A 15,827-nucleotide genomic window follows, 5' to 3' on the forward strand; every position below is an offset into this window, starting at 1 on the left:
GTAGAGACAGGGTTTCACTATGTTGGTCAGGCTGGTCTCAAACTCCTGACCTTGTGATCCATCTGCCTCAGCCTCCCAAAGTACTGGGATTACAGGCATGAGCCACCGTGCCCAGCCTAGTTTTGTTTTCTTGAGACAGCGTCTCAGTGGTGTGACCTCTGCTCACTGCAGCCTCTGGCTCCTGAGCTTAAGTGATCCTCCCATGTTGCCCATGTGAAAGAAAAATATTTTGGGCCCCAAAATCACTAAGGAAAAGTCAAGCTGGACACTGCTTAAGGGAAACCTGCCTCCCATTCTATTCAAAGTCACTCCTCTGCTCACTGAGATAGATGCATATCTCATTGCCTCCTTTGGAAAGGCTGATCAGAAACTCAAAAGAATGCAGCCTCCAGTGTCTCACCTTTCTGTGCCCAGCAAGCTCCCTCCCCGCTTGGAGTGTTCCTGCCTTTGCTTCAAGTTGTCCCACCTTTCCAGAAGAACCAAGGTGCTTCTTACATATATTGATTGGTGTCTCATATCTCCCTAAAATGTATAAAACCAAGCTGTGGCCCAACCACCCTGGGGACATGTCATCAGTGCAAGGCTCTTGCATTGGTTGGAACCCCGAGAGCGCGCCAACAGACAACATGAGGCGGTGTGGAGCAACATGCTGTTTTAATGAGCGCCTGCATGCAGACAGGCTGAGGCCTAAAATGGCATCAGCCCCAAGTGAGGATGGGGCAGGGGTTTTATAGTCCTCTGTAAACAGGAATTGTCCCAGCCTAACGTGACTGCTATGTAGTACCAGGGCGACCTCCCTCTTGATCTTCAGGGGGTACGTGTCTTCCAGCCAGCTCTCTTCCTGCCTCTGCTATCTTGCTGCTGGTGCAAGTTTGTACCTTGGGACTGGGCCTGAGGAGGAGGAGTTATTCATCCCGCAAGCTTTCAGGCCCCGAGGAGAATCTTCCATTCCTGTCTATTTGGTTATAGAAAAGGGGAAAGGGACGACTTTCTCAATAACTACTTCAGGCGTGACATAGGGGTGGCGTGGGCACCTTGGAAAAAGAAAAACTTAATTTTTGGGGTATTCTTGAGAGACGGGTTGGTATCCATCGTGCCGCTGTAGCAGGAGCATCATCTGGATTGTCAGGAGGTTAACTGTAGTTTCAACAAGAGTTTTAATGGGATACCACAGGGGAGAAACAGGAGGACCCCAGTGATGAAAATGACTGTCCCCACCAGCATTTTAAATCCTCCTAAATTAGAGAACCACCCTCCTAGAAGGTTTGCTGGGTCCCATCCCTCCCAGGTTTGGACTGGTACACGGGCTACTTTTCTGATGTTTGAAGCGATTTCCAGAACCTCTTCTCCATTATTGCCTATGTTAAGACAGCAATTGGAGATGTTAAACTTACCACAGCCCGCACCCTCTTCTGCTAATAAGTAGTCTAGGGCCAGCCTGTTTTGATAAATTGCCGCGCGCATTTGGTTTTGTTGTTGCGCGAGCATTTCTAGGGCTGAGGCAGTTTGGTTAGTGATTATCTCTAGAACAGCTTGTAGTCTAATCGCTCTATTTGGCATATATATGGGAGTGCGATAACCCCATGAACCATCCTCTGCCCAAGTGGCAGGACCATAGTATTCAATGATCCGTTGCAGAGGCCACTCGTCCTCTCACAATCTTTGGCTCCCTCCTACCTCCAAGGATCATTTTTCTCTGGTTATCATACACAGGGACTCTGAGGGTGTTGCCCGCCTGCTTCGGAAGTAAAAAGAATCCAGGTTGAATTGTGCCTAGGAAGCAAGTACCTTGCCAGTGATAAGGTAGCTGTGAGTAAGCCTGGGTTCCCCATATCCACAGGAATCCGTCAGTGGCAGTCCATTGTCAGCTGGTGTTCCTAGGATTGTCGCATAGTACACTTAGGCGGAGGTATGCGGCATAAGGGTTAGTGGTGTTCGTACAGTACCAGGCCTTTTTTGACAAGACACAATTGAGGTAGCTTAAGTTAGAAGGAGACCAGGCTCCAGGGGGTAACCTTGGCCACCACTCAGCTATGGAGGCATTGACTGTTAGGGTTTGGTGACGGGTTTTCACCTACGGCGCGATGGGTTTTATCAGTCCACTTGCGGGATATGCACACCGTCCCTCATACTGGGTTGGTAAGTGTCCAGGACTGCGGGCATTCCTGAGGAGTGAAAGTGAGTCTGGGGTTTTGGGATGCCTGTAAGTAAGGGGGAATGTCTATCCCGTCCCACAGCCACTGTTCACTCATAAAGCTCCCCCGCATACCCAACAATTGGACACATTCATGGTAAGCACAATGGTTCTCCTAGATCTACAAACAGATTTTTTCCTGGCTTAGGAAGGGATGCATCTGCTTATAGTTTTTGTATAAAGGAATGGAAATGCCGCGGGCGATTTTCAGGGGGAGTTGTTGGTTTTGAGGCTTTGGCTTTGGCTATAATCTGTTCTCTCTTTATGTCCTCAAGCACCTGAGTGTTTACTCCCCATTGTCCAATTTTGGTGAAGCAAAGCCACTGCTTCCCTCTGGGGCAAATAGCCCCATTACGACTGCCACATACTCCTAGATTCTTTACTTTATAATAACTCTTTCCTGATTCAACACATTCCTCGATTAAGTTTCCATAACAGGATCTTTCTATATGAGTATGGTAAGTAAAGTATTGTTGCATCTCCCCTCTGTAGTGCAAAGACTGATAACACTCACGGCAGCTCGGAGGGGCTGCTGTGGACAGCAGGACAGCTACTGACAGTATTAGGATCGTGGTGAGGGATATTCCCATATTAAGACTTTTGGTTGGAAGAGAGGTATAGAAAGTGGTTGGGTAGATACAGGCCATTCCTGGAAGCACGTGGTTAGTCTTCCTTGTGTTTTGGTTTTAAGAAAAAAATGTTGGTTAATTTAAACTTGGTAGGAGAAATTGGCCCAGACAAACACTTAGCTGTTAATGTTTTGGAGGAAGAAGCTGCCTTGGGGGTGAGCTTGACCCTGGTGCGATGGATCCAGTTGGGGAGTCCTCGGACTCTCACTGCAGTTGGTGTGCTGAGTATCACAGTGTAGGGGCCTGTCCACTTCGGTGGTAGCTTTTTGTGAGGGTCAGTTTGGCCGATAAACACGTCTGTGCCTGCAAGACAGTTATGATGTTGAGAGGATAAGGAGGTGTCGGCAGGGAGAGGCATGGCCTCACTCACTGCTTCACGAGTGAAAGACCGTGTCTGGATTAAGGAGGGGAGGTAATTCCTGAGTGGCTCAGAGTCTGTTAAGGGTGGAGGCTCTAAGACAAAAGTTCGGCCATACATGATCTCAAAGGGACTATAAAAAAAGGCTGCCTTTGGTGTTGCCAGAGTCTCATGAGGGCGAAAGGGAGACTTCTCGTACACGACTGGCAGATTTCTAGAGTGAGCTTGGTGAGTTGGGCTTTAAGGACAGAGTTGACCTTTTCAACTTAGCCTGAAGATTGAGGCCGGTAGGGTGTGTGGAGAACCCATTTTATTCCCAAGGATGTAGAGGCGCCTTGGGTGATTTGGCTGATAAAGGCAGGCCCGTTATCGGACCGGATGGATGTTGGGAGTCTGAAACAGGGAATTATATGCATGTTGAGAGTTTGTGTGATGATATTTGCACCTTCTGAAGTTGTTGGGAATGCTTCTACCCACCTGGAGAAAGTACAGACAAAGACTAGAAGATAGTGGAGCCATTTATGGGGCAGCATGTGAATAAGTCTACCTACCAATCCTGCCCGGGTACCTTGCCCTGGGCTTGGTGGGTAGGAAAAGGCAGTGGCCAGAGGGAACCCTGGGGTGACATTGAGTGGCAGATAGAGCAGGACTGGGTGACCTCTCGAACACGGCTGGAAAGATGAGGACAAATGAGGATAGGGCAGAGACGTTGCAGGACAGGTTTGTACCCGACGAGGACAAATGAGGATAGGGCAGAGACGTTGCAGGACAGGTTTGTACCCGACATGGAAAGAGTTGTGGAGGCTTTGGAGGACAGGGATTGTTTGAGAGTGAGGACAGCGAAGCGCACTTCCTTGACATACCGTGGTCCTTGTTTTTGAAGGTTTTGGGCTTGGCAGTCCTCCTTTTCTTCTGGGGAGTAAAGAGGAGAGAACGAGGACAGGGAAAGAAACTGGCCTTGCACGGGTTGTAGGGCCATTTGTTTGGCTACTCTATCTGCTAAAGCATTTCTGGCCAATATAGGATTGTCTGGGGTTTGGTGGCCCCTGCAGTGAATGATGGCAAGTTTCTGCGGGAGCCTGGCAACCTGAAGGAGCTTGCTGATGAGAGCATTCATGACAGGGGTGTTGTTTGCAGTTAGGAAACCCCCTTCTTTCCAGATGGACAAGTGTGAGTGCACTACGTGGAACACATAATGAGAATCTGAATACATGTCCAGCTGCTCGAGTGAGAGCTCAAGTGAGGACGATGAGTTCAGCCTTTTGGGAGGTGGTTCCTAGGGGGACCAGATTAGCTTCAATAGTGTGGGTGGGTGACACTATAGCATAGCCAGCATGTTGGCATCCTTGATGTAGGAAGGAGCTGCCATCTACAAACCAAGTAAAGGAGGCATCTGGAAGGGGTTGGTCTGTTAGGTGTGGAAAAGGTAAGAAAAGTTTGAACAGTGTCCACACAGAAGTGTGCAGGGTCTTGGGAGGTAGTGGCTTCAGGTAAGAGTGTGGCCGGGTTTAGACAGGAGCTGGTTAGCACGGTGATTTGGGGGGTTTCTATGAATAAAGCATACAGTTGGAGGAGCCGTGGGGCAGAGATGAGACTTAGTACGCTGCGGTGAGCTAGCATGTCTTTGATGCTATGGGCTGACTAAACTGTTAGGTTGGCATCAAGAGATAGTTTTAGGCTTTCAAGGGTGAGGACAGCAGCTGCCACCAGTGCTTGGAAGCAAGCAGCCCATCCGAGAACTGTGGTTTCGAGCTGTTTAGAGAGGTAGGCAACAACCTGGAGGGCGGGTCCCTTAGACTGGGTTAGAACACGTAGTGCGACTCCATGCCGTTCGTCAGGATAGAGGGAGAAAGGTTTGGTGAGGTCTGGGAGGGTGAGGATGGGGACTGGGGTGACAGACTTCTGGAGTAGGCAGAAAGGTTGGGTAATAGGCTGTGCAGGGTTTAAAGGCTCATGGAGAGGGCCTTTAGCAGCTTGGTATAACAGTTTGGCTAGTAGAGCGAAGGAGGGAACCCAGAGCCTGAAATATCCCGCTAGTCCTAGAAAAGAGAGAATTTCTTGCTTAGTTTGCGGAGGCGGGAGGGACTGGAAGAGGGATATGTGGTCTGTTATGAGCCCTTGGGTTCATGGGGTAAGAGCTAGGCCTAGATAGATGACTGAGGGGGTGCATGTTTGCGCTTTTTTAGGGGATACCTGATACCCCCACTCTGCCAGAAGTTTAAAAGAGAGATAGTATGGGCATTGCAGTCTTTTTGAGAGGGGCTACCCAGGAGCAGATCATCAAGGAGAGTGGACGGTTTTAGGGATAAGGTACAGAGGTCATGATCAAGGGCCTGTCCAAAAAGGTGGGTGCTGTCTCTAAAACCTTGAGGTAGTAGGCACCAGTGAGCTGATGTGAAAGGCGGGTGCTGTCTCTAAAACCTTGAGGTAGTAGGCACCAGTGAGCTGATGTGAAAGGTGGGTGTTGGGGTCTTCCCACATAACAACAAAGAGGTCTTGAGAATCAGGGTGCAAATGAACTGTGGAAAAAAGCATCCTTTAGGTCTAGGACAGAAAAATGGGTGGTATTGGAGGGAATTTTGGAAAGTAAAGTGTATGGGTTAGGGACTACTGGACATACTGGGAGTACAGTTTGGTTAATGAGCCTGAAGTCCTGGACTAAGTGGTAAGTTCCATCTGGCTTTTTAACAGGTAGAATTGGTGTGTTTAAAAGGGAGTTTGTTGGGCGGAGGAGGTGACTGGCGAGGAGGCGAGAAATGATAAGCTATAGGCCTACAAGAGCTGCTTAGGGGATTGGATACTGCTTCTGTGATAGGAACTGGGTGGGGATTTTAAGGGTAATGCAGAAGGGGGTGTGGTGTTTTGCAACTGAGGGTGTGGAAGTATCTCAAAACAGCGGGGTTAACCATGGATGGGGGATAAGGAAAGGTTGCATGTTTTAGGGTGGGAGGTTGCAGGAGTAGAAGAAAGTTAGAAGCCCTGGAGGGGTCTGGGTGGATGCGTTGGGTACTAGGGGAACGTGGGAGTGGAGAGTGGTGTGGAGTTTTGAAAGCATGGCTCTGCCTAGGAGTGGAGTTGGGCATGAGGGCAGGACTAAGAGTGAGTGAAGGAAGGCCGGGCGCGGTGGCTCAAGCCTGTAATCCCAGCACTTTGGGAGGCCGAGGTGGGTGGATCATGAGGTCAGGAGATCGAGACCATCCTGGATAACACGGTGAAACCCCGTCTCTACTAAAAATACAAAAATTTAGCTCGGCATAGTGGCGGGCGCCTGTAGTCCCAGCTACTCGGGAGGCTGAGGCAGGAGAATGGCGTGAACCCGGGAGGCGGAGCTTGCAGTGAGCGGAGATTGCGCCACTGCACTCCAGCCTGGGAGACAGAGCCAGACTCCGTCTCAAAAAAAAAAAAAAAAAAAAAAAAAAGTGAGTGAAGGAAAAGGCATGAAGGGAGCAGAAGGGTGGAGGGGGGCTCGGGATTTGGAGACCATCAGTTGTCCATCAATTCCCACAACAGAGACCTGGGAGGACTCGGTGAGTCCTGAAAAATTAGGTAAAGCAGAGTAGGTTGACTTGATATTAATTTTAAAAACATACTGGCCTACCTGCCATTATCAGGGTTACCCTTGGCTCAGATGAGGCAATGGTAGTTGCCGGGGTGTCCGTTCCAGGGCACTGTCAGTCTTCAGCGGCAAGGCCGATGAGATCGAGTAGGTTTTGGCCGGCTCAGGAAGGGATGGAGGCGGTCCTTGCAGGGGCCGCTCACAGTCCGACTTCCAGTGGGGTCCTCTGCAGAGGGGGCACGGCCTGGGGGGCTTACCTGGGTTTGGGCATTGCCTGGACCGGTGGCCTTCATTGCCACACTTGAAACAGACGCCAGGTGCAGGTGGCTTGCTAGGAGGCTCCCGTGTGGAGCTGCGGCCCCGTGGGCCTGCAGGGCCTCCCGATGGCGGAGGCAAGCATTCGAAACTCTGCCTGTTTTTGCCTTTCACTTTCTTCATCACAATTATTAAAGGCTTTGAGGGCTAAATTGAGAAGGTCTCGTTGTGGGGTTTGAGGGCCATCGTCAAGCTTCTGAAGCTTGAGCTGGATATCAGGGATGGGTTGGGAGATGAACCGAAGGCTTAAGATAGTGGTTCCTTCTGGGCTGGCTGGGTCTAGGTTGGTATATTTTCTCATGGCTTCCATTAAACAAGAGAGGAAAAAGGGCTGGGTTTTCGTCAGGACCTTGGGTGATTTCTAAAAGTTTTTCATAGTTTACCGCTTTATGGGCACACTTTTTGAGTCCTGCAAGGAGACACACAATCATGTGGTCTCGATGGCAGCATCCAAAGGCCCCATCTTGATAATCCCAGTGGGGGTCCTGGCTGGGGACTGCCTCTGTGCCAGCAGGCTGGGCGGCAGCTTGGTGATGAATTGTATCAGCATGTGCCTGAGCTAGGGTCCAGATACGGTCCCAGTCTTCTGGGGTGAGCGTGGAAGAGAGGATAACGTAGAGGTCATGCCAAGTTAGTTCATAAGACTGGGTGAGGTACTGAAACTCTCTAATATAAGAGGCAGGGTATTCTGGAAATAAACCGAGTCTTTTGTGAATTCAAGAGCGATCAGTGAGGGAGAAGGGAACATGAACTCTAATAAGATCTTCAGTTCCTGCTACTTCCCGAAGGGGGCATTCTAGCACAGACGCTGAAGTAAGGGTGGGGCATGGGCCAAAAGCAATGCCTGAATGAGTATAGGCGGGAAAGAAAGAAAAGCCGGAAGTGGTTCCTGCTGAGGGTTTGAAGGGGGAAGGAGGGTTGAGTTAATAGGCAGCAGAGGATAGATAGGAGCGGAAGGTGGCGGGGTGGGTTTACAGGCCTCAGGAGAGAGCGGTGGGGGAGGAGAATGGGTACAGGCAGTGCAAGAATTGTCCTGAGGAGAGGATGGTGTAGGAAAAGAAGTGGATACTCTTGGAGGCAGTGCTGGCTGGGAAGACAAAGAGGAGGCTTAGGGGGTTAAAGAAGACGGTTGAGAGGAAGAGGCAGGGGCTGGAAGGGGTGGACAGCAGTTGGCTGGATCCAACAAGGAAAAAGAGTTAGGGTCGGGAGGAGAACGGCGATCAGGGCGGCGAGAATGGAGGGGGAGGATTTGAACAGGTGAGCAAGAGCAGAGGCCAGGTTGTAATCTGAGTGTGAACAAGGCCTGGATATAAGGAATTTCTCCCCATTTTTCCAGCCGTCAGCAATAATTGCTTAAGTCAGTTAAAATTGTAAAGTCGTATGTTCCATTTGTGGCCCATTTGGACCCACTGTCCAATTTGTACTGTGGCCAGACTGAATTGCAAAAAAAGAACAAGGTGCTTAGAGGGATATCTCGCCTGAGGTCTAAGGTTTGCAGGTTTTTCATGAGGCAGCCTAGAGGGCTGTCCTTTGGAATGGAAGACTGGGAATTTTCCATAATGGAGGGTAGGCTCAGGAGAACGGGAAAAGCAGACCGTCCTGGACAGCCGGAGGGAGACGATAAAAGGAGCGTTTGTCACCGCTGCCTTTTTCATTCCCAGAATGGGATCAACTGGCTTAGAGTCCCCCTAAGACCAGATGATCAGCGAGTGCCTGGCACACACCTTAGCATTTTTTTTTTTTTTTGAGACAGAGTCTTGCTCTGTTACCCAGGCTAGAGTGCAGTGGCGCGATCTCTGCTCACTGCAACCTCCACCTCCCGGGTTCAAGCGATCCTCCTGCCTCAGCCTCCCGAGTAGCTGGGATTACAGGGGCCTGCCACTGTGCCCAGCTAATTTTTGTATTTTTAGTAGAGACGGAGTTTCACCATGTTGACCAGGCTGGTCTCGAACTCCTGATCTCGTGAATCCAACGGCCTTGGCCTCCCAAAGTGCTGGGATTACGGGCGTGAACCACCACGCCCGGCCATGCCATAGCCTTCTTGGACCCATGTTGGATTTTGGGGCTGGAGAAACCAAGAGAGGCCGTGCGGATTTTTCCCTGTTAACCGGGCTCCCAGGAAACTTACCAGTAGGCGAGATCAGTGACCGATGTGCATGCACAGAGAGGCGACTAGAGGCTGAGGAGCTTCCTTTGTCCGGCTGCTGTGGCCTGCTTTCCCAGATGGAGGGGTGGTAGGTCCACTGGGGACGTGGACGGAAGCCCCTCGCAGGTTTCAGGGCCAGCCCCAAGGCTCTTGCATTGGTTGGAACCCGGAGAGCGCGCCAACAGACAACACGAGGCGGTGTGGAGCAACACACTGTTTTAATAAGCACCTGGATGCAGACAGACTGAGGCCTAGAATGGCATCAGCCCCAAGTGAGGAGGGGGCAGGGCTTTTATAGTTCTCTGTAAACAGGAATTGTCCCAGCCTGACGTGACTGCTATGTAGTACGCGGACGGCCTCCCCCTTGATCTTCAGAGAGTATGTGTCTTCCAGCCAGCTCTTTTCCTGCCTCTGCTATCTTGCTGCTGGTGCAAGTTTGAGCGTTGGGACTGGGCCTGAGGAGGAGGAGTTACTCATTCCCTCAAGCTTTCAGGCCCCTGGGAGAATCTTTCAATCAGGACTTCCTGAGGCGGTGTCACAGGTCCCTGCCCAACCTTGGCAAAATAAACTTTCTAAATTAACAAGAGACCTGTCTCAGCCGGGCACGGTGGCTCACACCTGTAATCCCAGCACTTTGGGAGGCCCAGGCGGGCAGATCACGAGGTCAGGAGATCGAGACCGTCCTGGCTAACACGGTGAAACCCCGTCTCTACTAAAAATACAAAAAATTAGCCGGGCATGGTTGCAGGCGCCTGTAGTCCCAGCTACTTGGGAGGCTGAGCCAGGAGAATGGCCTGAACCCGGGAGGCAGAGCTTGCAGTGAGCGGAGATCGCGCCACCGCACTCCAGCCTGGACGACAGAGCGAGCCTCCATCTCAAAAAAAAAAACCTGTCTCAGATTTTCCACATCCGCACCCAAAATGGCATCAAACTCCTGGCCTCAAGTAACCCATCTGCCTCGGCCTCCCAAAGCGCTGGGATTACAGGCGTGAGCCATTGTGCCTGGCCTCAAGTGGGATTTTTTTTTTTAATTCTGAGACAGAGTCTAACTCTATTGCCCAGGCTGGACTGCAGTGGTGCCATCTTGGCTCAGTGCAACCTCCATCTCCCGGGTTCAAGCGATTGTCCTGCCTCAGCCTCCTGAGTACCTGGGATTACATGTGCACGCCATCACGCCCAGCTAATTTTTTTTTTTTTTTTTTTTTTTTTTTTTTTGGTAGAGATGGGGTTTAGCCATGTTGGCCAGGCTGGTCTCAAACTCCTGACCTCAAATGACCTCAAATGACCTCAAATGATCTGGCCTGCCTTGGCCTCCCAAAGAGCTGAAATTATAGGCATGAGCCATCCGCACCTGCCCACAAGTGGGTTTTTTGTTTTTTGTTTCTTGGTTTTTTTTTTTTTTTTTTTTTTTGAGACGGAGTCTCGCTCTGTCGCCCAGGCTGGAGTGCAGTGGCGCGATCTCGGCTCACTGCAAGCTCCGCCTCCCGGGTTCCCGCCATTCTCCTGCCTCAGCCTCCCGAGTAGCTGGGACTACAGGCACCCGCCACCACGCCCGGCTAATTTTTTTGTATTTTTAGTAGAGACGGGGTTTCACTGTGTTAGCCAGGAGGGTCTCAATTTCCTGACCTCGTGATCCGCCCGCCTCTCCTGCCGAAGTGCTGGGATTACAGGCGTGAGTCACCGCGCCCGGCCAACAAGTGGATTTTTAAAGGAAAAAAGAGGCAGTTGCTAAATTCCTCGCCAACAATTTACATTAAAATACATAAGCGATTTATTGGCTTGTTCTTTGTATCACAAATTCCACAAATTTAGAAACGTGATTGTAATGAGTGAAGCAGGTATTCAGGGACTACATGGCTAAACAATTGCGCTGGGCATGGGTGGAGGGCACGAGTGAAGTCCCGAGCTCAGGTCTCTCTGTGCAAGCCTAGCAGAGCACAGAACGCTCTGGGCTATCTTTTCACCTAGGGAATACTGTGGGCGGGACAAATCTGGGGTTATAGACAAGCTGGGGACGGCTGTGCCTCGCTGGGGGACTGACACAGGCAGCCAGTGTGTGAGCCCAAAGCTTCCAAGACACCTCTCAGCCAATGTGGAAAGTTTATTTTGCCGAGTTTACAGACGCGCCTGTGACAGCCTCAGGAGGACCCGAGGGCGTGTGCCCAAGGTGGTCGGGCACAGCTTGCTTTCATACACTTCAGGGAGACATGAGACATCAATCAGTATGTGTGAGGCCGGCCGTGGTGGCTCACGCCTGTAACCCCAGCACTTTGGGAGGCCGAGGCGGGCCGATCACCTGAGGTCCGGAGTTTGAGACCAGCCTGGCCAACATGGTGAAACCCCATCTCTACTAAAAACAAAAAATTAGCCGGGCGTGGTGGTGGGTGCCTGCAGTCCCAGCTACTCGGGAGGCCGAGGCAGGAGAATGGCTTGAACCCGGGAGGTGGAGGTTGCGGTGAGCGGAGATCGCGCCACTGCACTCCAGCCTGGGTGACAGGGTGAGACTCCATCTCAAAAAAAAAAAAAAGGAGAGAGAGACAAAAGTTGCATTCTTTTGAGTCCTTGGTCAGCCTTCCACTGAATACACAATTGAGTCTGGCTCAGCGAATCTGCATTTTTACATAAACAATAGGGCAGAGGAAGCAATCAGATGTGCATTTGTCTCAGGGGAGCCTCAGAGGGATGACTGAGTTTTCTGTCCTTTGTCCACAAGGAATTTTCCTGTGAGCAAATTGTGAGGGACATATATATGCTCTTTTCTTTGTACCTGTTTTATTTAGGAGTAGAATGGGAGGCAGGTTTTCCTGACATGGTTCCCAGCTTGACTTCCCTTGGCTTAGTGATTTGGGTGTCCTGAGATTTATTTTCATTTCACAGGTGTCTTGAAACTGCCTTTGAAAAATGGTGACAGTTGGCTGGGCGCGGTGGCTCACGCCTGTAATCCCAGCACTTTGGGAGGCCAAGGTGGGTGGATCACGAGGTCAGGAGATCCAGACCATCCTGGCTAACATGGTGAAACCCCGTCTCTACTAAAAATAAAAAAAATTAGCCGGGCGTGGTGGCGGGTGCCTGTAGTCCCAGCTACTTGGGAGGCTGAGGCAGGAGAATGTATGAACCCGGCAGGCGGAGCTTGCAGTGAGCCGAGATTGCGCCACTGCACTCCAGCATGGGCGACAGAGCGAGACTCCGTCTCAAAAAAAAAAAAAAAAGAAAAGAAAAAGAAAAATGGTGACAGTAGGAGAAATCTGACAGAGAGTAGACTCCACCTTGCTTCTGATCTCTAGCGGCTCTTGCTCATTCCTGGGCGTAAACCAAGCTAACCATGGAGGAATTTCGTTTGTAATTCAACTTGAAAGCAAGGATGCTAATAGTCCTTTCCTGACACTAACCCTCCTCGCTCAGGGACCAAAAACTGCCTTTCAAAGACTAATGAAAGGCCACAAGAATAATATTATGGGACAGGCCTGAATAAATGTAGCTGTAATTTCTTTCTTTCTTTCTTTCTTTTTTTCTTTTTGAGAAAAAGTCTCACTCTGTCACCCAGGCTGGAGCACAGTGGTGCTATCTCGGTTCACCACAACCTCCGCCTCGCAGGTTCAAGCGATTCTCCTGCCTCAGCCTCCCGAGTAGCCGGGACTACAGGCGTGTGCCACCATGCCCAGCTAATTTTTGTATTTTTAGTAGTAACAGAGTTTCACTATGTTGGCCAGGCTGGTCTTGAACTCCTGACGTTGTGATCTGCCCATCTCTGCCTCCCAAAGTGCTGGGATTATAGGTGTGAGCCACCGTGCCACCCAGCAGTGTAGTTTGTTTGTTTGTTTGTTTCTTTTTTTCTTTCTTTCTTTTTTTCTTTCTTTCTTTCTTTCTTTTTTTCAGACAGGGTCTCACTCTGTTGCTTAGGCTGGAGTACAGTGGTATGAACTTGGCTCAGTTGCAACCTCCATTGCCTGAGCTCAGGTGATCCTCCTGCCTCAGCCTCCTAAGTAGCTGGGACCACAGGCGCGTGCCACCATGCCCAGCTAATTTTTTGTATTTTTTATAGAGATGGGGGTTTCACCGTGTTGCTCAGGCTGGTCTGGAACTCCTGGGCTCAAAGGATCCTCCCACCTTGGCCTCCCAAAGTGTTGGGATTACAGGCGTGAGCCACTGCTCTGGGCCTATAATCCTTTACTGCCCAGGAACAATATAGCCAGAGGCAGCTGGATTTGTGACTTCCTCAATTGCTCCAATAGATAACATCACTATTGTAGAACCTAAGATTGGCCTTTTTTTCTTTTTGAGACACTTTTGTCTCCCAGGCTGGAGTGCAATGGCACGATCTCAGATCACTGCAACCTCCGCCTCCTGGGTTCAAGCCATTCTCCTACCTCAGCCTCCCAAGTAGCTGGGATTATAGGCACCCGCCACCATGCCCGGGTAATTTTTGTGTTTTTAGTAGAGACGGGGTTTCATCATATTGGCCAGGCTGGTCTCAAACGCCTGACCTCAGATGATCCAGCTGCCTCGGGCTCCCAGAGTGCTGGGATTACAGCCGCGAGCCACCGTGACCAGACGAAATTGGTCTTTTGAGATTTTTTTTTCAAACTTTCTGGTGTGAACCCCAAATATATGAGACTGGTCTCAGTCAATTTAGGAAGTTTATTTTGTCAAAGTTAAGGACACATGCTGTGACACAGCCTCAGGTGGTCCTGATAATATGTGCCCAAAATGGTCGGGGCACAGTTTGGTGTGACATACTTCAGGGAGGCATGCAACATCAATCAATATGTGTCAGGTGTCCATTGGTTCGACCTGGAAGTGTGGGACAGCTTGAAGCAGGGAGAGGGCTCCCAAGTCATAGGTAGATAAGAGACAAATGGTTGTGTTCTTTTGCATTTCTGACTAGCCTTTACAAAGGAGGCAACCAGATATGCCTTTATCTTAGTGAGCAGAGGGATGACTTTGACTAGCGTGGAAGGCAGGTTTGCCAGGAGCAGTTCCCAGCTTGACTTTTCCCTTTGTGATTTGGGGGTCCCTAGATTTATTTTCCTTTCACATTGGCAACTGAGTGGCCCTACTGGGACCCGTGACTTGTGACCCAGCCAATCCTGTGGCCCCACCCAGAGGCAGACTCAGCACAGGAGGACTGTTCTCCATACCTGTAAGATTTTTCTTTATATATATATATAGTGGCACTATCACAGTTCACTGCAGCCTCCAACTCTGTGATTGAAGTGATCCTCCCACCTCAGCCTCCCAAGTAGCTAGAACTACAGGCATGTGCCACCACGCCTGGCTAATTGTTTTGTTGTTGTGGTGGTGGTGGTTGTTTTTGAGATGGAGTTTCACTCTTGTTGCCCAGGCTGGAGTGCAGTGGCACAGTCTCGGCTCACTGCAACCTCCACCTCCCAGGTTCAAGCAATTCTCCTGCCTCAGCCTCCCGAATAGCTGGGATTACAGGCGTGCGCCACCACACCCGGATAATTTTGTATTTTTACTAGAGACAGGGTCTCTCCATGTTGGTTAGGCTGGTCTAGAACTCAGGTTATCCACCCTGGCCTCCCAAAGTGCTGAAATTACAGGTGTGAGCTACTGCACTCGGCTGTTGTTGTTGTGTTCTTGTTGTTATTGTTGTTTTTGAGATGGAGTCTCGCTCTGTTGCCCAGGCTGGAGTGCACTGGCACAATCTCGGCTCACTGCAACCTCTGCCTCCCGGGTTCAAGCGATTCCTGTGCCTCAACACCCCCATTAGCTGGGATTACAGGCATGCCCCACCATGCCCCACTAATTTTTATATTTTTAGTAGAGATGGGGTTTCACCATGTTGGCCAGGCTGGTCTCGAACTCTTGACCTCAGTTGATCCACCCGCTTCAGCCTCCCAAAGTGCTGGGATTACAGGCATGAGCCACCACACCACTCCCTGGCTAATTTTTAAAAATTTTTTGTAGACAAGGGTTTCACTTTGTTGCCCAGGCTGGTCTCTAACTCCTGGCCTCAAATGATCCTCCCACCTCAGCCTCCCAAAGAGCTGGGATTACAGGCATGAGCCACAGTGCCCAGGTGATACCCCTATCATTTCATCTCAACCATTTAGCTGCACCCATCCTCTAGCTCCACGCCTACCAGATTGTCCATAAAAACCCTAACCTGCAAGCCTCTGGGGAGACTGATTTGAGTAGGAACTCCATCTCCCACGGGGCTGGACTCACATTAATTAAACTCTTTCTTTACTGCAATACCGCAGTCAGTCTCAGTGACCTGATGTCATCTATGCGGCAGGCAGGAAGAGCCCATCAGGGAATCATAGTCTTGCTGTAAACCTGGGGAGAAAGTGACGGATCAGAGGGAAGCTTCTTTGTACTTCTGAGTCAGTCAAGGCCTGACCCACAGATCCGCATGGCAGGATCCTTCTGGAGGCTCCCCAGGGCCACAAGAGCAGCTTCCTGCACCACTGGGTCGTCTGTTCCCATGATGCCAGCTCAGTGGAGGGAGTAGAACCACTGCACTGAGGGATGTGGTCCTGTTGCTCCGCACAGGCAGCCACTACTCTTTTTTTCTATTTTTTTAGAAATGAGTTCTCACCATGTCGTCCTGGCTGGAGTGCAGTGGCATGATCACATTGAGGGAAGACAGAGACCCTCTCATATTG

The 15,827-nt window shown here is 50.4% G+C and overlaps 1 protein-coding gene across 1 annotated transcript, besides 4 other annotated features; it reads right to left on the minus strand.

Moving 5' to 3' along the window:
• Positions 1 to 637: 637 nt before the first annotated feature.
• ERVH48-1 (endogenous retrovirus group 48 member 1, envelope) lies at positions 638 to 9,465 on the minus strand. The gene is made up of 2 exons (NM_001308491.2): positions 9,181 to 9,465; positions 638 to 3,126 (listed from the first exon to the last, which is right to left on the minus strand). Exon 2 carries the CDS (start codon positions 2,839 to 2,841, stop codon positions 2,359 to 2,361), a length of 483 nt encoding a protein of 160 aa, NP_001295420.1. The 5' UTR covers positions 2,842 to 3,126; positions 9,181 to 9,465; the 3' UTR covers positions 638 to 2,358.
• Positions 9,600 to 10,121: an enhancer, noted in NCBI's record as "NANOG-H3K27ac-H3K4me1 hESC enhancer chr21:44345875-44346396 (GRCh37/hg19 assembly coordinates)". NCBI's record gives its function as "activates a minimal SCP1, AML or CMV promoter by ChIP-STARR-seq in primed H9 embryonic stem cells {active_cell/tissue: H9 hESC(primed)}" and the evidence as "EXISTENCE:reporter gene assay evidence [ECO:0000049][PMID:30033119]".
• Positions 10,122 to 10,643: an enhancer, noted in NCBI's record as "H3K27ac-H3K4me1 hESC enhancer chr21:44346397-44346918 (GRCh37/hg19 assembly coordinates)". NCBI's record gives its function as "activates a minimal SCP1, AML or CMV promoter by ChIP-STARR-seq in primed H9 embryonic stem cells {active_cell/tissue: H9 hESC(primed)}" and the evidence as "EXISTENCE:reporter gene assay evidence [ECO:0000049][PMID:30033119]".
• Positions 11,930 to 12,483: an enhancer, noted in NCBI's record as "H3K27ac-H3K4me1 hESC enhancer chr21:44348205-44348758 (GRCh37/hg19 assembly coordinates)". NCBI's record gives its function as "activates a minimal SCP1, AML or CMV promoter by ChIP-STARR-seq in naive H9 embryonic stem cells {active_cell/tissue: H9 hESC(naive)}" and the evidence as "EXISTENCE:reporter gene assay evidence [ECO:0000049][PMID:30033119]".
• Positions 12,484 to 13,035: an enhancer, noted in NCBI's record as "H3K27ac-H3K4me1 hESC enhancer chr21:44348759-44349310 (GRCh37/hg19 assembly coordinates)". NCBI's record gives its function as "activates a minimal SCP1, AML or CMV promoter by ChIP-STARR-seq in naive H9 embryonic stem cells {active_cell/tissue: H9 hESC(naive)}" and the evidence as "EXISTENCE:reporter gene assay evidence [ECO:0000049][PMID:30033119]".

Source organism: Homo sapiens, chromosome 21 (assembly GCF_000001405.40).
Source record: "Homo sapiens chromosome 21, GRCh38.p14 Primary Assembly".
Taxonomy (NCBI): Eukaryota; Metazoa; Chordata; class Mammalia; order Primates; family Hominidae; genus Homo; species Homo sapiens.